We start from the raw sequence: 23704 nt of genomic DNA on the forward strand, positions 1-23704 counted from the left end.
CATCAGTAATAGGCAGCAACATTTTCTGTTTGTTTAGTTTTATTTTGTAATGCAGTTGAGAATCGACTAAAGTTATTGCTCTTATCACATGACAGCAACTCGGTGAGGCTTCATTTTTATAGGCTTAACAGAGTCCATCTACTCTATTCAAGACTTTCATTGTTTGTGATGCTGGCCACCTGGAGCCAATTATTTAAGAGCTTCAAGAACAAGCAGCTCATACTGCGGTGCATTCTGGGGCTTTGGCTCACTCAGCTTTGGTTCCTCCCTTTTCTGATCATGGCTCTACAACTTTCTTTAGGGAAACTGCCTCTCCCCAATTCTCGGAGCTTATGGTTAAAATGGGACTGAGCCTGCTATCAGTTTCTTTGGGAGTACATGTGACTCAGGACTGACCAATCAGCAACCCTTCCTTCTAGTAACTGGTTCAGTTCCTTCTAGTAACTGGTTCAGGAAGAGGCATGAGAACCAGGCTTGGGATTTTTGCAAGAGAAACTAGACAAGAAAGTACCCTTAAGTTAGAAGGGGGTAAGCTTGGCACTCATTGTTTGTGGTCATCTTTCTACCAGAAGGGGAGAGCATATCTGAGAATGAAAGCAACAAGGAAAAATGAAAGCTGAGAAGTGAGGAGAAAAAGAGATTCCTAAGCAAAAATAAGCACCTGGATCCAGCCATGCCTGAAGGTTTGACTGTTACATAAGCATGACACCTGGTCTTTTCTGTTACCTAAACATAAATTCTCTATTTGCTTAAAGAAATTTGAGCTATGTTTCTGTCACAACTAGAAGCATTTTGATTCAAATATATACAAAAGAGACTCTACCACATAAATGAGTAGCTGCCTTCTTACTTTTTTGCACTATTCAGGATTTATATTATATATCTAAGTCTTGCTTCCCTCAACAAGATCATAAGCTCTTTGAGACTAGGAGACAAGCATAATAACCTATTGATACAGCCATACACTTTGGCCAAAAACAAACCCATGAGGGCTAAGGAATTATTTCATAACGATATCAAAGAGAAGAAAGTAGGAAAATGTCAAGGATGTTTCACAGGTTAGGTTTTGAAGGCTGATGGCATGGGGAGTCAGGGATCTCATAAGTATCCAAAGCTACCTCCAAAAGCTTCATTTGTTTAGTTGCCCACTCCTGAACCTCACATTTTACACTTTACCAGCTCAGCAGATGGAAAACCCCTACCAAAGTATCAGACTAAAGGTCTTCTAACTAGAACTGTGAAGAACTCACTGCTTGTCACCCAATGGTACCAATAAATCTGCTTTTTTGCTTAAATGAAAATTCACTACCCCAAATATTCTTCATATGCCAACTCTGACCACATTTGGATAGGATAATTTTATTTGAGTGCTTTAAAAAGTGTTTTTTTATTTTTTAATTTTTTTTCACATTGTATACCAGGATAAGCACCAAATACATCAAAGATGTAAATGTAAATATGAAAACATAAAAGAGAAGAAGATGGGCCTTTCCCTAGTGTAGGAAAGACCTTGCTAACTATGACTCAAAGTCCGGAAGCCAGAAAAGATTGATAAAATTTGTATCCTAAAATATAAAAAGATAAAATCACTTTAAACACTTTTACATGGCAAACAAGAACAACAATGAAAATATAAGCAAAGACAAATGACAAACTGGGAAAATATAGTTACAACTCGTATCCATTTCAGCACCAATCTCTGTAATATATAAAGACTTCCTAGAAATCAAGAAGCAAAGGACAACCACTGTCTCTGTATGACTCATTCATGTTACAACATCACAAGGAGCAATGTCAATTATTGGGCATGAACATTTTAAGAGATAGCAGGGTGTTTATGAGTTAAGGGCATGAACTGAGTGGTCCAGGTTTAAATCTCAGCTCTGCCACTTTCTTGCTTGTGACCTGGGCAAGCTGCCTCACCTGCTTAAACCTCATGTGTAATGGGGGATTATAATCTTCACCTTGCATGGCTGTTGCGAGGATTAAATGCACATGAATGCACTCAGTGACAGCCTCACTTACCAAGTGCGCAGTAAATGTCTGTTGTTGCTAGTAAAGCAGACATTTGAAAATTAAGAGCGTACCCTGGCCAGGTATGGTGACTCACACCCATAATCCTAGCACTTTGGGAGGCCAAGGTGAGCAAATTACTTGAGCCTAAGAGTTCAGAGACCAGCCTGGGCAACGTGGCAAAACCCTGTCTCTACAAAAAAAAAAAAAAAAAAAAACAGAAAAGAAAAAAAAAAGCCAGGCATGGTCGCACACTCCCGTAGTCCCAGCAACTTTGGAGGCTGAGGCTGAGATAGGAATATCACCTGAGCCTGGGGAGGTCAAGGCTGCACTGAGCCATGATCATGCCACTGCACTCCAGCCTGGGTGACAACATGAGATTCTGTCTCAAAAAAAAAAAAAAAAAAAAAAAAAGGCATACCTTAACCTCAAGATCTTGCAGGTACTACTCACAAGCCAAGATATACGTGAAGTACACCAGGAAAAAAAAAATTCAACATTGCTATAACAGTAAGATTTTTCATTTTACATACATTGTTATATTTACAACCATGAATGTAAGTATTGCTATTCCTGTTTTACAGATGAGGAAACTGAGACTCAGAAGGGTTAAGTGACTTGCTTATCGTGGCAGCTACTAAATGGTAAAATTTAGATTTTACTCCATCTATGACTGGCTTTAAAAGTTGGGTGTTCATGGCCGGGCACGGTGGCTCATGCCTGTAATCCCAGTACTTTGGGAGGCCAAGGTGGGTGGATCATGAGGTCAGGAATTCGAGACCAGCCTGGCCAACATGGTGAAACCCTGTCTCTACTAAAAATACAAAAATTAGCCAGGCGCAGTGGCAGGAGCCTGTAATCCCAGCTACTCAGGAGGCTGAGACAGGTGAATCGTTTGAACCTGGGAGGCAGAGTTTGCAGCGGGCCAAGACTGCGCCACTGGACTCTACCCTGGGTGACAGAGTGAGACTCCATCTCAAAAAAACAAAACTAAACTAAACCAAAAAAACCAAGTTGGGTGTTCATTATACTATATCAACCTGTCTCTCCCTCATTTAAAAGCTAGGAAACAATTTGTCCAGCTAAGTAGTAAGAAAAGATACCCAGAGTTGCCATAGTTCTAAAAGTCCCAGCCCTCAGGCGTAAGAACTGACTCTGGTCCAGCAGTAAAACCTGCCATCTGTGGGAGCCTGTTTCTCAGTGGAAGGAGAAGATCCATCCTGGGTTATGGCACATCTTTAACCACGTGTTGCTACTGGTCTTCCTTTTTGTTACATAGAAAAGTTAAAGAGATCCCTTGTATGGTTGTGGGTGGAGTGGTACACACACCACTGTTTCTCTGGGACATTTATTTATTAATGTATTCATTTTTATTATTATTATTTTTTTGAGACGGAGTCTCACTCTGTTGCTTAGGCTGGAGGGCAGTGGCGCAATCTTGGCTCACTGCGATCTCTGTCTCCCGGGTTCAAGCGATTCTCCTGCTTAGCCTCCTGAGTAGCTGGGATTACAGGTGCATGCCACCATGCCTGGCTAAGTTTTGTATTTTTAGTAAAGACGGGGTTCCATCATGTTGGCCAGGCTGGTCTCAAACTCCTGACCTCAAGTGATCTTCCCACCTCGGCCTCCCAAAGTGCTGGGATTACAGGCATGAGCCACCACACCCAGCCTGGGACAGACTTTTATATTGTACAATTGCCCTCCATCCAGGGCCTGCGGAAGACATGTCTTTGGCAGTGAACGTGGGCTCTCATGCAAGCTATCTGAGCTCCCGGTGAGTGTACAATTGGAGGGCTTTTCTCACCTCCTGGAAGCTAGTCCCCTGGCTCCAGCAGCCTACCTGTAGAAGGCATGACAGAGACAGCAATGCCCCCACATTTGGCCCAGGTTGTTCAAAGCCCATAGTTGGAATACTCAGGAAGCTCTAGCTATCCCTGCAGCCCTACAGCTGAAACGAGAATCTGCCTACAGTGGAGAAATAAAATGCCCTTCCCAAGCCTCCCTTTAAGAGGTAATAATGCCTCCCGAAGAACATCTGCCAACCCCCACAGACAGAGCTATCTGAAGCAAGCACAGAACCTTGACACTCTTTTCTGTGGAAATTCCAACACATATTTCTTTGCCTTTAAATCTTTGGAATGCTGATTTAAAATCCTGAAGCTAAAATGTTCTGACAAACAGCAGGCTGTCTTGTCTCTCTGAAACAGTGGTATTTCAGGGGTCAGGGAGAGAGCCCTCACCATCAGCCTCATCAGTCAATGGGTTACATAAGCAGGGATTTGTTTCCAGTCTCTAAGGAGGATATCCACAGAATGTCAGGACTTTAGCAAAGTTCACCAACTCTCTACCAAGCATGGTACCTTATACCAGTCCCCAAATAATAGCAACAGACAGTTTAGGATTTACTATCCGATGATCGTGTTATGGCACTTCACAATGTCCTATAAGGAAAATACTACGATCACCCCATTTTACAGCAGAGGTAACTGAGATACAGAGAGGAGGTGTAATTTGCTCAGGGTCATAGAATTTGTAAGTAGCAGAGCTGGGGTTTCAATACAAGTAGTATAGCTTGAGTATATACTCTTATCCATAATGCTACACTGTCTCTCCCAAGATGATAATGATGGGATGGTGGTAATGACAGTGGTGACGGTGGTGATAACAGTGACGATGATGGCTGGAGTGATGGTGGAGGTGGTGCTGGTGGGGATGGTTGGTGCTAGTGCTGATGATGATAGGGAGGCTGATGATACTACAACCTTGGCCCGTGTGCTAAGTATTTCCCACATATTACCACATTTCATGCAATCTTCCAACAGTGTTACCTTATCCAACTACTTCTCTTCACCTTGCCTATCTGCCACTATCCCAGCCTAAACTGTCATCATCTCTCACCTGGAGTAGTACAATAAACCTGCTAACTGGTCTCCCTGCTGCAACCAGTGCCTACAGAATGCAATCTCACTGCATTACAGCAGCCAGAAGGATATTCTGAATGGTTAACCTAGATCTTAGCACTGACTCTCTTGCCTGAAACCTCCACTGGCTTCCACTGCACAAATCCCAATTCCTCACCACAACTGGATGAGGCCCTGCGGGATCTGGTGCTGTTCGCCTCTCAGCCCCCCTTTCCTGCTTCTCTCCTCGTCACCCATGATGCTCCAGCACAGTGTCCTTTCCCTCCTGACCATGGCACCTTGTTGCCAGGCCAGGACATTTGTGCCGGCTGTTTCCTCTGCCACCAAATCTCTGCAGGATTGGCTCCTTTTTGTCATGGAGGCATCAGCTCAAATAACCCCTCCTCAGAGTCTTTCCTGACCTCCCAGCTATAGGAGATTCTCAACTTCCATCTTTCTTCTGATCTCATCTCCCCTGCCACCACCTCCTATTCCCAGCCCCAGTCACAGCCACCTCAAGACTGGACTGTGTCCTTGGTTGATTTGCTGTTATTTACCATCTCCCCACCTAGGCTACAAGCTCTGTGAAGACAGAGATCTTGTCCCTCATGTTTGCTGTTTCATCACCAACACCTCAAACAGTGCCCAGCCCAGAATGGAGTCCAATAAATATTTACTGATGAAGTAACTGGGTTATCTCATTTACTCTTCTCAAGAACACTTTTAGAATTGAGGCAACAGCTATGTTTTAATAACAGACCCAAGGCCGTATGGCGAGTAAATGGCATTTAACTCCAGAGTCTACACCCTTAACCTCCATTCTGTAACTGGCTTTGTCATCTTGACTTTCCATTTCATTTCTCTGCTTCTCAGTGTCATTTTTACTCTAAAATAAGAAGATCTTCCATGCTTATTTACCTTCCAAGGGTATTTGGAGTTAAGAGCCCTTGTTCTTAACCACTATCAGGGTTGGAAAACTTTTCCTGTAAAGGGAAAAATTCTAATTGTTTTAGGTTTTGTGGACTATTCAGTCTCTGTTGCAACTATTCACCTCTGCCAATGCAATATAAAAGCAGCCACTGACAATAAATAAATAACAGTGTGGTTGTGTTACAATAAAACCTTATTTACAAAAGCAGACAGTGGGCCATTCTTGGCTACAGTTTGCTGGCATCTACACTAGACCACTGGAGAAGCAATCTTTGGTTTCCATCTGTCATTCAGTTATTATGAGGCCTGGTAATCAGAGATGATCTCTTCCCAGCACACTGGTGTGTACGTTCAGAAAACATAATCAACATTTTAAGAAAGGTCAAGGTCTTCTGTCCAGTTCCACATCAACCAGTTACCATGTTGACAGAAACAGAAATGGCTCTCTTCCATTTTTTTCTGGACCTAAATTTGAGCAATCTTTGGGTGAACTTGGTGGCAGAAGGTTCTCTAACAACAGGCAAGAGGATTTGTGTCTAGACTCAAGGAAGAGTCAGAAGGGCAAAGGTATGATCGTGAGTTACCGTGGACTTGAGAACTTTGACGTTCTTCCTAAATCAGGAGTATAATGATGACTTTGGTCGAGAGGGGCCAGTGGAGGCTATACAGAAAGACTGCACAAACTAGAGGGTCCAGGATCCAGTGGGATCTTAGCAGGCAAAGCAGGGCTCTGAGCTGGACAAGCAGGCAGCTCTTTTCAACCTGACCCCATGCCCCTTGGGCCCATTTCAGATGTACCCAGGCCTTTTGTATTTGCTGTGATTTATTTTTCAAAAAAGGTGAAAAATCATAGCAAATGCAATGGGTAATATAATAAATACTGATATTCTTACCATTCAGATTTAACAACTCAACATTTTGTTAAATTTGCTTCCAGGGCTTTAAAAAATATATGTAAGTAGGGGGTTTACTTAGGCCAAGTGTGAGGATTGTAACCAGGAAACACAGATTCAAGTTGCCCTGAATATACACTCTCCCAGGGCTTTTTTAATGGATAAAAGAAATAAAACATTACCAGCATAGCTAACATCTCCTCTTCCCACCACCTCAGTCCCACATTCCATCTTTGGCCACCCCCAGTGACAACTATTATCATGGAATAGATATATATCCTACCAGTCCATTTCATTACAGAAAATTATCATTAGAGAAAATTTTCTATTGAGATAAAATTTATATAACATAAAATTTACCATTTTAACTATTTTAAAGCACACAATTCACTGGTGATCATTATATTCACAATGCTGTACAGCCATCTCTACTATCTAGTTCCAGAACATCTCAGTTATCCAAAAAGAAACCCTGTATCTCCCAAATCTCCCCTCCCCTCAGTGCCTGACAACCACGAATCTACTTTCTGTCTCTATGCACTTGCCTTTGCATTTGCATATGAAATGCCTGGACATTTCATACAAATGGAATCAAATAACATATGACCTTTTGTTTCTCACTTATTTTGCTTGGCATAGCGTGTCTAAGGTTCATCCATGTTGTAGCATGCATCAGTATTCATTCCTTTTTATGGTTGAAGAATATTCCCTTGTTTGGATATACTATTTTGTTTATCCATTCCTCAATTGATGGAATAATGCTGCTATGAACATCCATGTGCAAATACCTGTTTGAGTACCTGTTTTCAGTTCTTTTGGGTATATACCTATGAGTGGAATAGTTGTGTCATATGGTAACACTATATTTAACTTTTTGAGGTACTGCCAAACTCTTCTCCACAACAGCTGCACCATTTAAATTCCCACCAGCAATGTATAAGGGTTTCAATTTCTCCACATCCTCACCAACACTTCTTCTTTTTTATTTCCCTCCTCTTTTTAAAAATAGCCATCCTAGTGGGTATGAGGGATAATTGTGGTTTTGATTTGTATTTCCCTAAAGCCAACTGCAACTGAGCATCTTTTCATGTTTTTATTGGCCATTTGTATATATTCTTTGGAGACTATCACTTTTTAACTCTATATTTATTCCAGGCATCTACAAATAGTGTGCAGTATTGTTTTCTAAGTGTAAATATAAATATTTTCTCCACTTAGCATTGTTTTTGAGCTCCCTCCATGTTGTTGTATATAGGTCTAATTCAAAGCTGAACTGTATCCAGCCTTCCCTACACCACATTTTATTTATCTGTTCTCTTATTTATGGATATTTACAGATTTTCCTTTCTTCACTGTTACAAAATGTGTCGCACTTCCCTATACACGCCTCCTTCTGCATTCCTGAGATTGGTTCTCTAAGGCTCAAACTTGGATTTATAAGGCAGGATCACAGAATATGCACATTTACAATCTCACCACATGTTCACTTTCTTTTTTAACATATGTTTGGAAAAGCAAATGCAAATTTGGATCACACTTCAGGAGACTCAGCCCCCAGTGCATATCACACTCACACATTCACCAAGCTGGATAACTGTTCAATTTTTCTGGATTTTCAATATTCCAATATTCTTTGTTTTCCCCCCCCAATTTTTACTCTTGTCACCCAGGTTGGAGTGCAATGGTGTGATCTCGGCTCACTGCAGCCTCCACCTCCCAGGTTTAAGTGATTCTCCTGCCTCAGTCTCCTGAGTAGCTGAGACTACAGGTGTGTGCCACCACACCCGGCTAATTTTTGTATTTTTTAGTAGAGACGGGGTTTCACCATATTGGCCAGGCTGGTTCCGAACTCCTGACCTTGTGGTCTGCCCGCCTCAGCCTCCCAAAATTCTCGGATTACAAGCGTAAGCCACCACGCCTGGCCTGTGAATGTATTAAATGCCCCAGAGCTATACACATTAAAATAGTTAATGTTACGTGAATTTTACCTTAATTAAATAAAAAGAGAGCTACTACATGGAAAATGTTTCACATTGGCACTAGGTATGAAGTAGAAAGCAGGTATCATTATTGTAAAAGATGAGGTTCATAGTAAGAAAAACTAGAAGCATACTATATATCTAATAACGGTGGGTTAATTTAATAACGCTATATCCCAGTTAAACAATCTGATACTATGTATGTATTCAGAATAATAAGGTCGTGGTCGGGCCTGATGGCTCACACCTATAATCCCAGCACTTTGGGAGGCCGAGGTGGGTGGATCACCTGAGATCGGGAGTTTGAGACCATCAAACTTTGTGAAACCCTGTCTCTACTAAAAATATGAAAATTAGCCAGGTGTGGTGGCACATGCCTGTAATCCCAGCTTCTCCTGAGGCAGGAGAGCTGCTTGAACCCGGGAAGCGGTGAGCTGAGATTGTGCCATTGCACTCCAGCCTGGGTGACAGAGTGAGACTCTGACTTACAAAAAAAAAAAAAAAAAAAGAATAACAATATCCAGGTATAAATATGAACAGGAACAATGCTGATGTGTACCAAAATAAGACAAGCAAGACACAAAGCAGTATCTGTGCATCATGTGATCCTATTTGTGTGTCCATGTAAACATACATTTGGCAGGGCTATACTCCAAAATATAAAGAGTAGCAAAATGATGATTTAATAGTCTTTCTTTAATTTACCTTTATTTTATAATTTTCTACAACATCCACATACTGCTAGTATAATAAAGAAGTAAAAGTTTGAAACATGTCAAAATAAATGCATTCTGGTACTTTTTACTTAAAGATGAATTGTGATGAATTATTACCTAAAAGTATTCTAAATATAAATTCTCTAAATTATCTTGTTTTGTGTGTTCATAATTTTAACATTAGGCTTTTTTTGTTTTGTTTTGTTTTGTTGGTTTTTTGAGATGAAGTCTTGCTCTTGTCCCCCAGGCTGGAGTGCAATGGTGTGATCTCGGCTCACTGCAACCTCTGTCTCCTGGGTTCAAGCGATTTTCCTGCCTCAGCCTCCTGAGTAGCTGGGATTACAGGCACGTACCACCATGCCCGGCTAATTTTTGTATTTTTAGTAGAGATGGGGTTTCACCATGTTGGCCAAGCTGGTCTCGAACTCCTGACTTCAGGTGATCCACCCGCCTCGGCCTCCCAAAGTGCTGGGATTACAGGTGTGAGCCACCATGCCCAGCCTAACATTAGGCTTTTTAAAAGCACGTGTACACCCCTATTTCACGCATTAAAATTAAATAATTATAAGACATGCTAAATAATATGCTGAATTAATGCTAAATAACAGCATTAATTCAGAGTATGATTTAATTGTTTAATTAATTGCTATCTCCACTTCCAAAGGTCTAAGCCACGTGGAAGGACTGAATGGCCTCCTCAGAGTAACTATTTAGCTTTAGCAGAAAGACTTAAAATGCACCACCTCTCTCCCCCTTTTCATACGACACAGAACATGACCCATAAAGTCCAACACACCCCAGGCCGGATAGCTAAAATGGGCCTGATAAATAAAGGGCCCTGTGGCTGAGTCACCCATGGTTCACCCCTGACCTCTGGGGAAAAAAGAATACAAAAATTGAATCATGCACCTCCACACAGACTTCCCGTGGAAAAAGGATTTCTCAGAGAGTCAAGAAATGACTTAAGTCTTTGTTTCCTCAGTTTCCCAAAAGGGAGAAAAATCATGTCTCTTAGAAAAACTGTTGGTGTTTAGCATGAGTATTTCTGTGGTAAAAATGACCTTCGTGACACAATTCAGCAGGCCAAGGTATCCCGTTCACATCTGATTAATGCAAGCTGCCTTATCACTCCTGGTCTTTCCTTATCCTTCAGAGATAGCTCCAAATGAGGCTGAGTTACCAATTTTTGGAAAAAACAGACTGAAAAACAGATGTGTATTTTCGATCAATAGTTCATGAAAAACTCCTAATGAATAAAGTTCATCTCTTTCCTTTAGGGAAGAAAGCCAGCATTAGCATAAGTGTTTCAGGATTTCTTCATACTTTCTTTGTGCACAGAAATGCTCTACTAACTTCAATCTATTATTATTCTTTGGGAAATGGGATATAGTTGGGGAAACAATTTAAATTAAAAATTAGTTCTGAAACATTACAAATCTCACCATGAGATTAATTAGTTGCCTCATTCACTCATTCAGAATGTATTTTTTCAGTGACTCATTCACTCACACACCCACAGAGTCCCTACAATCATGTTTGGGATGCCAAAGCGTTTTCAACCCATTCCCTGCCTACCTGGATTTTTTTCTCGTTTTGCCTTATTCTGAATGATACAAACCAGTTCTAAAGATTTTATACAACAATCAGACAAGATACAAAAAGTCACTGTGGGCCAGGCGCAGTAGCTTACGCCTGTAGTCCCAGCACTTTGGGAGGCTGAGGTAGGAGGATCGTTTGAGCCCAGGAATTTGACACTAGCTTAGGCAATATGGCAAAACCCCATCTCTACAAAAAAATACAAAAATTAGCTGGGTATGGTGGTGCATGCCTGTAGTCTCAGCTACCTAGGAGGCTGAGGTGGGAGTATCACCTGAGCCTGAGAGGTCGAGGCTGCAGTGAGCCGTGATTGTGCCACTGCACTCCAGCCTGGGTAACAGAGTGAGACCCTGTCTCAAAACAAAACAAAAAGTCACTGTGTAAAGGCCAAGGATGATGTGAAAGAATCAGTCTGCATTACGTAATCTTTATTTCACCCTCTTCCAGAAGACCCATTCTCCAAATATGCGGCATGAATTCATGCTTTCAAGGATGCAGAACCTGCAGAAAGTACACTTTATTTGATAATCAAATGGTTTCCTAAAGAAAGTGAAGAGTCAGGATCAGAGTCAGGAGGTTCAGAAAATGTATTTTTAGCTTTTGCAAAGATTGGTGCTGATTAAAAAAATGGTGACTCCTATAACCCAGAAAAGAGTCTAAATAAAAGAGACTTTACTTAAAAGGAAGGGGAGGGAGCAAGCAAAGAGTCCAGACGTTTTTCTACTCTGCTACCATACTCTGAAAAGAGCACGGTTGACCGAGTTCATGTAGGATCAAACCCTTGTCTTGTGGTCCTGCATTAACGCCACAATCCCACCAGCTGAGCTAACTGGAATTGACTGCTCAATGGAATTAGTCTTCCATCTTTAATTGGCTAGAAAACTTGCCAAGAAGCTCTGCCTGACAGTCCATCAGGCAGAAAACATGAGGATAAAAGATGGTCCAATAATTACCAATGGGAATTGAAGAGGACGATTATTCAAGAAATAGACCATTTCATGAAGCAACTAAAAGCTGGAGGGCAAAAAATGTTGTATGGAGCAGGGCCTGTGGAAGCTTGCCTCCTTGTAAACCCTCCACTCCAAGGCCATGCCTTCAGCAGATGAGGTCACAATAAACTGCGGCAGGTCCTGACAAACGGTTTCCTCCCAGGAGTCAATAAGTTACCTGAAAATGCTTAGTTCTGACTGTTTGAGTTCACTCTACCATGAATACATGACCAGCGATTCTGGTCAGGTCAGGGCTGTTTCCTGTGCCATCATGTGCACACAGCCACCTGAACAACATGCTAGAACGGCAGGATTACAAGCTTCCTCCAGCAGCCAGAAACTTACATATTTCTAACACACTGCTAAATGTGGAAGTAGCCATGAAGAACCATCAAAGTGATAATTTTTGACTCAATAATTCCACTGCTGGGAATACAGCCTCTTGGATGTGTGCAGAAGAAAACTGTGTGCAAAAGTAAGAATGTTTATCACAGGAAAATACCTATTTTTTAAAAATAAAAACAATGTAAATATCATACTCCATGGGCTAAATACAGCCATAACATGTAACATTATGTAGCCTTTAACAATAATGGTATAAAAAACAACTTACCTATATTTCCCAACTTTTCTACAATAAACAGTTTTGTAAAGTATGTAAAAAATACTGTGGGGGGGAATAATTAAAAATTTTACATAGATCAATGTTTACCAAATTAAATGATAATTTAAATGCATGGAAGAACATAATACTGGGGTGAATGTTTTTTGTACGAATCTCTACATAAGACAGAGATTCACTCCCATATTTTTAGCTGTTAAAATACGATTCTATCACTTAAATTATTATTTCACTTTTCATTGGTTTTACCTCAAAATCTGATCCAAAACTGGGAAATAAGATAATAAAAAGGCTTTTTAAAAAGTCATAAAATACACACAGTAATGTTCTCCATGTGCCTCATTTACAGGTACTTTTCTTTCCATAATTCTAAGAAGCCCCAGTACATAGTTATATCATCTTAACAGTTAGCAGCTGCAGTTTAGATGTGGGAAGGAGGTCTGCACAGACAAAAACGCTGATAGCAGAGAGAAGCAACAGCTGACAGCTTAGTAATGAGAGGGGAGCTAGAAATACTATGACGAGCTGACCTGAGAACTCAAAAAGCACAAATTCCCGGGACCAAACAGCCCTAAAATACCAAGAGATCAACACACTATAGCAAAGTACAATGACAGATGGTCATTGTGTGTCATTTAAGAAAGGCAAACGATAATTTGTATAACCTGGCCGGGTGCAGTGGCTCATGCCTCTAATCCCAGCACTTTGGGAGAACAAGGTGGGAGGATCATTTGAGCCCAGGAGTTCAAGACCAGCCTAGGCAACATAGTGAGACCCCCCTATCTCTACAAAAATAAAAAAAATAAAAATTTACTGGGCGTGGTGGTACACACCTGTAGTCCCAGCTACTCAGGAGGCTGAGGTGGGAAGATCACTTGAGCCTGGGAGTTCAAGGCAGCAGTGAGCTGTGATTGTGCCACTGCATTCCATCCAGGGTGATGGAGTGAGACCTTGTCTCAAAAAAAAAAAATTTTTTTTTGTATAACCTGTCTCAAAAGGCAAGAGAACATAATATCCATTTACATAACCAGATACATTTGTGCATTTGCATACACACATTTTAAAGGCTGGATTATATATATATATTCTTGTGTATTAGTATATGAGTATTTGTGATGTGTGTGTGACATTAGTTTTTTTAACGTTTTGGGTTTTTTTGAATTTTTTTATTTTCATTTTATTTTATTTTACACTCCAGGTAACTCACAGAACAACATTTTGGTTTTTAAAGAAGACTGTGTGGTGAAGTCCAAATAAAGTCTGTCATTTCCTTAGCAGTACTAAACCAATGTTACTTTCCTGATTTTGACAGATACACTGTGTTATGTAAGATGTTAACATCAGGGGAAGCTGGGAAAGGTACATAAGAACTCTCTGTGTTATCTTTGCAACTTTTCTGTAAATCTAAAATTATTCCAAAATGAAAGCTTATTAAAAATATAAAACAACGAAACAAAGAAGAATGAGGTCTTGGTTGTCTAATCAAATTGTCTACACTCTGCGCCCTATCCCCAAATCTCAAGGGGTCTGGCAGCTGAGCTTTCACTGATTTGGTCTGGTTGCATCAAATCATCATTGCAAGGATGCTTTGACCCTAGAAAGCTACCCTCCTTTAGAACCTGACAGCTCACAACACAGGATCACATTACCACCTTTTACCCACCTGAGGAAGGGAGGGTCTGGTCCCTAGGTCTGCAAAATCTGGGAAAGAAAGTGGTACAATCCCGAAGGCTCCTGGTGCTCTCGAGCCCGGACACGTTTCATCTGACAGGAATCCTCCTGGGAATGACTTCAACCCCCAGATCCCAGGCATTATCTCATCTTGGCCGTGTGTCATCCTCTGCATTTTCCTTCAAGTTACTAAGAGGAAATGGAGGATCAGACGGAGCTCTGGCAGCCCACCTTCTTCTTAGGTGGATATTTTTAGCACTTTGAGACAAATAACTTGCTTTTTAAGACCATCCCAGACATTCTTCAAATGAGAGGTACAAGCTTTCTCTGCTAGACTCAGTGAAAAAGGCATGCAGTGCCTAGGAGAGCCAGCCAACAACAGTCAACAACAGGAAAAAACACCCCCATTTAGGGGACCATAAATATTTACAGCATCCAATGGTGTATTTACTATTCAATGATCCTGCAAAACAAATGTTCTAGGACAAGAAGTGGTCTGCATTTCTGCAGGATCCCAGAGTTTCAAAGCTGGAAAGGGAACAGAGATGTGTCCAGTTTCCACACTCTACAGGTAAGAAGGTTGAGGCTCCAAGTATGCTCCCATAAAATGTCTGCTTTTTAAAATATCTCTATTACAACATGCATTCCCTGAGCCACAGTTCATTGTTTACAGACCGTCTCTCACAGAAGTGGGTGTTTGCTGAGGGACTCAGCGCAGTGCCGTGAGTAAGCACCATAAACAATCAACAAAACCTTGTTTGAGACACCAAGATGGAAGCTCATCTCTGCCCTGACTCATGTTTCTGGGGACCTCTTCTCTGAACCTAATTTTAAAACTGAGAAGACAAATCTTATTCCTGAATGGCTGAAAGAGCAACCAGGAGTGCATTTGGAAATTCACCTGCTAACATATTATAACATTAATACTATTTGTTCAAAAATTAAAAAAACAATTTCATTTCCTTCATGAGATGAAGACTAACATTTTTCATTTTCTTTGGTAAGAATTTCTAGAATGCTGCTTTATTAAATTTCATGGTTAGAAAGATTTACTGAGATAGAAAAGGTTTTTTTAAAAACTGTAAGATTAAAACAGCAAAGTTATTAACATACACACAGTTAAGCAGTACCAAAGAAAGCTGTTTGCACCAGAATATGTCACCTGATCCTAAGAATATTTAAATTAGCATTTTGGGATGCAAAAACACGGAAAACCCCTTCTCTTTGCCCCCAGTAGATAAATACTCCTGGCTCCTCATCTATACTGATCAAGTTCAGGTCAAAACGGAATGACGAATTATTGAGACCCCTAGATTTGCCCACTGTGACATCTCAATGCAAGAGTGAGATGAAAAATTAACCTTGGCTGGGATCTTTCCCTAAAGTAGCAATGGCAGGAAAAGCTTGAGTCAACCACCAGCTAGTCAGGCAGAAATTTCAAAGAGGTGGTGAGAAGAACTTGCTGGCTTCTTATTGGGTGGGCTTCCTCAACCAAATCCCCCTTTCAGCTATAGCATGCTCCTGGTTGTTAGTCTTACATGAGATCTTCCATGTCCTCCATTTAGACATAACTTACCCAGTTAGTTGCCATCAGCTCTGCACAGCTCACACTCCCACTTTCTCCATCACGGCAGTCACTTACAAGCTGAGTAGCTGAATAAACTTCACTTTTCTATGCACACAGTTAACCAGAAATTTTAAAAATTTAAGTTTAAACATAAGCACCCACAGTCTGATGTTTCTAAGTCTTTAGTTACATAGTTTCATACTCAGAGACCTCACCCCCACAAAGAGCATTTAATTAGAAAAATTCTTGGGTGTGATTCTATGCATTTCAGAGTAGCTATGTAATCACTGTGATTCCATGCTTTACCTTTTTCAGCCATCAGATTGATTTGAAATAGGTAATTCCATGAATTACAGTCAAAGTATTAATAAAAAGAGGACCAAAAAGTGTGTGTGTGGAGCGCCAAAACCCACATACACATACAAATTCCCAAAACAAGAAGTTGAACACTGAACCATCCTCAAAAGATGGCATCTTTTGCAGAAGTTACATTTAATCAAGGTCTTGGCATTTGTTTTATTATTTGCAAAAGATCTTTTTTTCTTTTACTAACATTTTGTAGGTACTACACATTATCCTTTATAGACACTAGCTTAAGTAATTCTGAAAAATGCCATATGAAGTAGGAACTACTAGTAAGTCCACCCTGAGATGAGAAAATGAAGGCTAAGAAGGTTAAGTTCTCGGTTACCAAGTTAGTTATGGAGGCAAAATTTGAACTCAGTTCCTCCCCAACGCCCAGGCTAATCACATCTCTTGCAGTGTTTCCCCAAGCATGGCCCATGCATCACCAGTCAAATGTGGGATTGTAAGATGCATGTGTATAAATACATTTTTATTTTAACAGTTATATATGTCTTTATTTTAATGTGGATTAGAAAAAATTGTCCAGCTAGCAGATCTTTCTTGGATCTTATTGCTTGGGACCTAGCTAATTTTGCATCAATTACATGCTTTGCAAGAGCTAGAAAAACAGTTAAGCTCTAATGCCATTTCTTCTAAGAAATAAGTGATTTGACTCACCAAGGAATGGAATCCATACTAGCTTCTATAGACTGCTTCCCAGCTGAATTAATCAGCCTGGATATTAAATGATCCCTAGCAGATGTCTAGAAACCAATGCTTTTAACTTCAAAGAAGAGTTTCTTCTGGTACCCTTCTCTTCTCCATCATTTAACTCCCTCATCTTTTCCCCTGCCCCCTACAATCATGTAGCCCTGGAAGATTACCTAAGCTAAGACAAAATGGTGAAGAGCAGAGATGTCTGGAAGGAAGCAGAGCTGCTCACTCATCCTTCTGTCCCCAAGATGGCTCATCACGGAACTCTCCCTAGGGTGGTCATAGCTGATCCCTGAGCAGGCGCCCCATTCAGATAATGGCCAGACATCAAAGCCCCAGCTGACACAGAAATCTCTGGAGGAAAAAGCCATCTTGGTGACATAGTATTTTTAGTTCATCCTTTTCTTTATTGTCAAAATGACTTACAAATAGCTCCAACTTTTGACCGTGGCTAGTCATGCCACCAGTTGGCTGACTTTGTGTTCAATATTTTACTTAAAAAAACCCTCAAACTTCTAGTTATACAAGTAACACATGAATTATTTCTCCTTGTAAAAACTTTAAATATTAAATGTTAGACTGCCACTGGAGCCACCAGGCCCCCTCCTCAGAGAGAACCAGTTTAGGGTTTTAACTCAGAATCAATTTAATGAATTTAGGGTGTTATCCTTTCAGACTGCTTTCTATGCATGGATGTATCTTTGAAAAATAAGCAGAATTGTTCTGTGGTGGCTTAGCTTAGCACACAAATGATATCATACTTAAATTTCTGTAACTCCATTTTTATTTTTTATTTTTCTAAGACAGGGTCTCACTCTGTCTCCCAGGCTAGAGTACAAGGGCATGATCTTGGCTCACTGCAACCTCTGCATCCTGGGCTCAAACGATCCCCCTGCCTCAGCTCCCAGGTAGCTGGGACTACAGGTATGTGCCACCATGCCTGGATGACTTTTGTAATTTTTTTTTTTTTATAGAGAAAGGGTTTCACCATGTGGCCCAGGCTGGTCTCAAACTCCTGGACTCAAGTGATCTACCTGCCTTGGCCTCCCAAAGTGCTAGGATCACAGGTGTGAGCCACCATGCCCAGCCCAAATTTCTGTAACTTGAAAAAAGAAATCTAACAGTATGCCTTGGCAATCTTTTCATCTTTCACCATCTTTCTTTCCTTTTCTTTTTCTTAATGCTGCGTTATATTCCATGTATTCCATAGTGTAGATGTTTTTTATATTGTAAAGTGAAAATATCATGCAATTTGACCTTTGGCTTTTCTATAATACTTTTTCTCAGAGAGCAATGATATATAAGAAGAAGATTCCCTTTACTTTCTGCCCCTTCTGATTTCTAGAAAACTGCCACTAATTTCAGGAAAAGTAATACATGAATGGCAATTTGAGGGAGGGATTGGCATTAGTTCTGTAATTCCCAGTGCAACGGCAGGTTAACAGGACATAAAATCAGGCAGAATTGTGACTCACAACTGTATGGCCTTGGACTCATTAAACATCCATGAATCTCAGACTCATCAATTGCAAAATGAAGAGAATAATATCTACCTTTCCAGGTCACTGGCAAGATTCTGTAAGAAAAGGAAATTAAGAACAAGCAGAGTACCTGGCACTTTAGTGCATGACAAATTATTTAAAGCTGCGTGGCAAAGTTCTGCTCGACAGTGCAGAATACAAATATGTTTCTATTATGTAGGATTTTCAGTTTATGCTCAAAAATTATTATTTCCCTTTGGAATATCTTGTTAGTATGGATACTGCACCCTGTGGATTTATAGGTAGGGAAATTGAGACAGAAAGATATGCTCAAGGTAAATCCATCATGGTGCCAGGATTAGCTTTTCTAAGAACTGTTAAGCTTCTTTTCTTATGACTTATTGTTAAACTAATAAACAGAATGCTTGAAATTGCTACCTGAAAACTAAGCATATTGTCTGGAATCTTGTCTGCCTCTGTTAATTTTCCTCAAATGACTATTTAGAAACAAATAAAAGATAGAAAATCTTTCAGGTAAAGAAGATAATATTTAATAAAATAAAACAAAATTAAAAGGAAAAGGAAAATAACACCAATACCAACTACTGCTGCCACCAGGATTCCAGCCAACAGGTAATTAAACAGGTTTTGCTTCAACCTTATAGCAGGGCTAAAAACAATCAGCCTGAAGGATTAGCAGGGTGGGAAGACTCTGGATCAATTTCCCAGGATTTCATGGAACAAGGATTACATGTGTGTACAAAAACACAGGGTGGTTTTGTGACAACCCCAATGTTTTCTGGGAGCCTTCACCAAGTCACTAAACATTACACATAGCAGATGGCCTCTTAAGATGTCCCCCATGATCCCTGCCTCCTGGTGTTCACATCCCTGTAGGGCCAGAATAGGCTGGCATACTGATTTTCTTCTAGCCATATAGAACATGGCAAGATGACAGGATGCACATGATTATGTATTATGATTACATTACATAAGATTGGGTTATGTACTCATATTTTGAGGCAACTCTTTCCATTGCTGGAATCAAAGAAGCAAGAGGCCATGTTGAAAGGCCCATGTGGCAAAGGGCTGAAAGTGGCCTCCTGGAGCTGAAGGTGGCCTCCAGCCAACAATAACAAGAAACTGAAGCCCTCAGTCCTTCAACCACAAGAAGCTGAATGCTGCCAACAGTCATGTAAGTTTGGAAACAGACCCTTCCCCAGTCAAACCTCAGATGAGACCATAACCCTGGCCAACGCCTTGATTGCAGCCTTGTCAGACCCTGAAGTAGTAGAAGGCCTAGCTAAGCAATGTTGAACTCCTGACCCACAAAAATTGCACCATAATAAATGTGTGTTGTTTTAAGACTAAGTTTGTAGTAATATTGTTACAGATAACTAATATATCACATTTTCTTCCATGTCTCCATCTGAACACAGGGGAGAAATCATATACAGCCTGGTCTCACCAGCAATGAGGGACTGAAAATCTATATTAGAATTGAGCCACATGGTCTATTTGGTGATACCTGAATTGAAATGAGTCCTACAGCATTATTCTAAAAACCAGTGCTATATTTTGTGTTTCTTTGTTGATTTTCCCTTTCCTTTCACAGTGAGAGAGAACAGTATACGTTTTAATATATGATGTTCCTTCATGAGCAAATTATCTCCCTGGGAGATTTCCCTGACTTCCTAATTGATTTACTAGTCAGCAGGCCCTAACTTCACTAAGCCATTCCTTCAGTCCTTGACCTTATTAAAATACCATTCCAATCAGATCATATCCTTCTTCCAAAACCTTCACTGCCTGGAGACTCAAAGCCAAACCCTGTAGGAAGGCCCCAGAGCCAGGTTTGTTGAATGAATAAAGAAATGAATAAAGGTGTCTGGTAGAACACAAACAGACCACACCGAAGTTGTGCTTGCATGTGGCAAAGACTGCATCTCATTCATTTTAATTTCCCCAGTGCCCAGCATAGTGTTTACTCTGTAGCAGCTGTCCCTAGACTTCCACTGTGATAATGAAACAAAAATGCAGCATCACTCGCTCTCTCGCTGCTTTAAGGATCTCTGTGTTACCCTTGTGTCCCTGAGTCTGGTAACCCATGCTATTGAAAATGAACCCAGACTTTCCAAGGTCATTAATCTGTTTGTTATAGAGTAATGTTTAACATGTAATCTCCTTAACAGTTCTAAAATTCCCATTTGGGTCCATAACAATTCCTTCTTCACTCCAACCTAAGGGAGCTTTATATATGTCTTTAATATTTTTTACTCTACTTCATGCCTCAAAGGAGCACAAGAACACAAACATGGTTGGCCAGAAATGTAGAAATTAGAAAATGGGGCAGGAGGAAATAGGTATTGAATTGGAACTCCAGATCATGGTCTTATAGCTCAGGGAGAGGTGTAGATCCTGAAAGTGGGCTTCAAGTGCAACGACAAGTAACAGGAATTAATCATTAGAGACGGTGAAAATGACTAGAGAACTTCCAGGACTGGGTGATAAAAAAACTTTTTTTAATAGATGTAGTGGGTACAAGTGCTGTTTTGTCACATGGATATATTGCATAGTGAAGTCTGGGCAAAAGGGGCACATTTGTATAAATTGCTGGGAATGGGCTCAAAGTATGTGTAAGCTGTTTGATTCACTGTATTTGCTGCTTTGAATGGGCTCCTGTACACCCAAAATTATATGGTAGTATTTTAGAACAGGACTTGTATGGACTAACTTCACAACTTTTTTCCCATATAATTACCCCTCCTCAGACCCAGCCATGGACCAAATTTGTCTCTAGTGATCCCAGGGTCTTGTGTCCTCTTCCTTTCCCTTCCTTTCCCTGTCAAAGCTCTAAAATGCTAAGAATCACCCACAAGGATAGACTGCTATTCAAAGTGCTCTCCTCCAAAGGTTGCATTTTAACCAGGAAAACATTAATAATTGCATTTTAACAAGGAAAACATCAATAGTTCTTACAGGATTTATTTACAAATTACTTTGACACAAACAATCTTACTTGATGCCCAGTGCCCAGCACTTAGTAGGCACTTAGTAGTATTTACTGAATGGATGGATGAAGAAACAGAGGCTCAGAGAGGTTTAAGTGACCTGCCTAAGGTCACAGTGAATTAGAGTCAGAATAGGGGGTGGAGGGGTTAGAACATAGGTTTTCTGACTCTACCTCCCAAGCTCCCTACATTTTCACCAAATCATAAACTACAGATAGAAAGATTCACAAGAAGAATTGTAACTCAGGGGTAATGTGGTCTTCCCAGCTCCTCATAATTCACTCCATGAAAGCAGTTTCTTCTGTCTTGGAGCCAATTCAACCAAATTGAGGCATAATTCTAAGACTCAAATTTGCAAATTCAAACCAAATTCAGCCTCATCTTATACCTTCAATTTGGTTTCCCAAGCATGTTTTTGGCCAACTGTGCTGTACGTTTAGTAAGATGCTTTCAAGGTGGAAGCAGCAAGCTGGAGGTGAGGAGGGAGCATTTTATCACCTCTTTCATCAAAGATTCTCTTGTTTTTCTGGCATTATTCGAAAATAGTGAACCCCCAACTTGTAAAAGTTGAGAAGTCTTTAAGAGCATTTATCCTTGATTTTATTTGTTATCTTATTTTAGTTTTGAGACAGAGTCTCAATCTTGTAGCCCAGGCTAGAGTGCAGTGGCGTGGTCTCGGCTCACTGCAACCTTCGTCTCCCAGGTTCAAGAGATTCTCCTGCCTCGGCCTCCCGAGTAACTAGGAACACAGGCATCCACCACCATGCCCAGCTAATTTTTGTATTTTTAGTAGAGACAGGGTTTTACCATGTTGGCCAGGCTGTTCTTGAACTCCTGACCTCAGGCAGTCCTCCCGCCTTGGCCTCCCAAAGTGCTGGGATTACAGGTGTGAGCCACCATGCCTGGCCTACCCTTGATTTTGTGAACAGTAGTCAGGCCCTGCTTACTCAGTGTAGAGTGCAGTGCTATGCACTGTGGTTAGGATGTGGGGGAAGGAAGGCACAGCTCCTGCCTTTGAGAAGCCAACACACAGAGATGGAGACATCACGACTACAATAAGCACCATGGACTCGGGAAATGTGCACTGGGGAGCAAAGAAAGGGTTGGGCTGAGTAGGAAATAGCTTTAAAGAGAGAAATGTTAATGTGACATTTAAGCTACCTTAGGGTTTTATCTGTGGATTAAATGATAGGGTGTCTGGAATTTGCTTTAAAAAAAAGTATGTGGATGAGGGAATAGGTAAAAGAATAATGGTAAACTATGATAACTGTTAGGACTGGGTGAGTGATAAAGGGACTTCACTATACTCATCTCTCGAATTTTGTGCTTGCTTGAAAATGTCTATAATAAACAAAAATAAAATATTTGGGGAATCAACTCTAGGCTATGCCACATGCTAGCTCTGTAGCTTTGGGCAATTCACTTAACTCCTCAGACCCTCGGTCTCCCCAACTGTACAATGGCTATAATACCCTCTCCCTTAGAGGGCTTTTTGGGACATGTAAATGGTAAAATAATAAAAATATAAGCAAAGGATCTGGTACTATTCCTGAAAAATGTAGGAGCTCAACAAAAGGTAATTTATTGTTGTTATCACATAATAAAAGTCATTTGGTAGGGGGTAGGGCTGCAGAGAACACAGTCTTACATATACACCGTTGAACAATGGCCACGCAACTCTCTCCCACTAAGACTTTATTTGTTTATTTATTTTGAGATGGAGTCTTGCTCTTGTTGTCCAGGCTAGAGCGCAATGGTGTGATCTCGGCTCACTGCAGCCTCTGCTTCCTGAGTTCCAAGCAATTCTCCTGCCTCAGCTTCCCGAGTAGCTGGGATTACAGGTGCCCACCACCACAGCTGGCTAATTTTTTGTATTTTTAGTAGAGACGGAGTATCACCATGTTGGCCAGGCTCGTCTCCAACTCCTGGCCTCAGGTGAGCCACCCCTCTTGGCCTCCCAAACTGCTGAGATTATAGGCGTGAGCCACCGCACCTGGCCCCACTGAGGCATGTTAATACACTTGATGTACCAGCGGCTTTTTAAAGAGGCTGAACTGAACACTAATTATTATCAGCAGGTATCCGCTCTTTATTTAGTAAAACCACTAAAAGAGCTTTATTTTTATCTTAATTTCAGTGAATCAAGCCTCACTCAGCTCCTGCTGACGTGAGAGCAGCCTTTTGTGAGGCTTCTTCATTCTGTATGTTCCTGGGGATTACAAAATAGCACCTAAGTGTCCTGTACCTACAGAATTAGAAGGTCTTTTACCAGGAACT

The 23704-nt window shown here is 40.8% G+C and overlaps 1 protein-coding gene across 16 annotated transcripts in view, besides 1 other annotated feature; it reads right to left on the reverse strand.

Annotated features, from left to right (window-relative positions):
* Positions 1–23704, reverse strand: part of ARHGEF3 (Rho guanine nucleotide exchange factor 3) — a 351849-nt gene that overhangs the window by 98123 nt on the left and 230022 nt on the right. The window lies entirely within an intron of this gene.
* Positions 14279–14573: a silencer, noted in NCBI's record as "tiled region #9253; K562 Repressive non-DNase unmatched - State 24:Quies". NCBI's record gives its function as "represses a minimal TATA promoter and a strong SV40 promoter by Sharpr-MPRA in K562 cells {active_cell/tissue: K562}" and the evidence as "EXISTENCE:reporter gene assay evidence [ECO:0000049][PMID:27701403]".

This window comes from Homo sapiens, chromosome 3, assembly GCF_000001405.40.
Source record: "Homo sapiens chromosome 3, GRCh38.p14 Primary Assembly".
Classification (NCBI taxonomy): domain Eukaryota; kingdom Metazoa; phylum Chordata; class Mammalia; order Primates; family Hominidae; genus Homo; species Homo sapiens.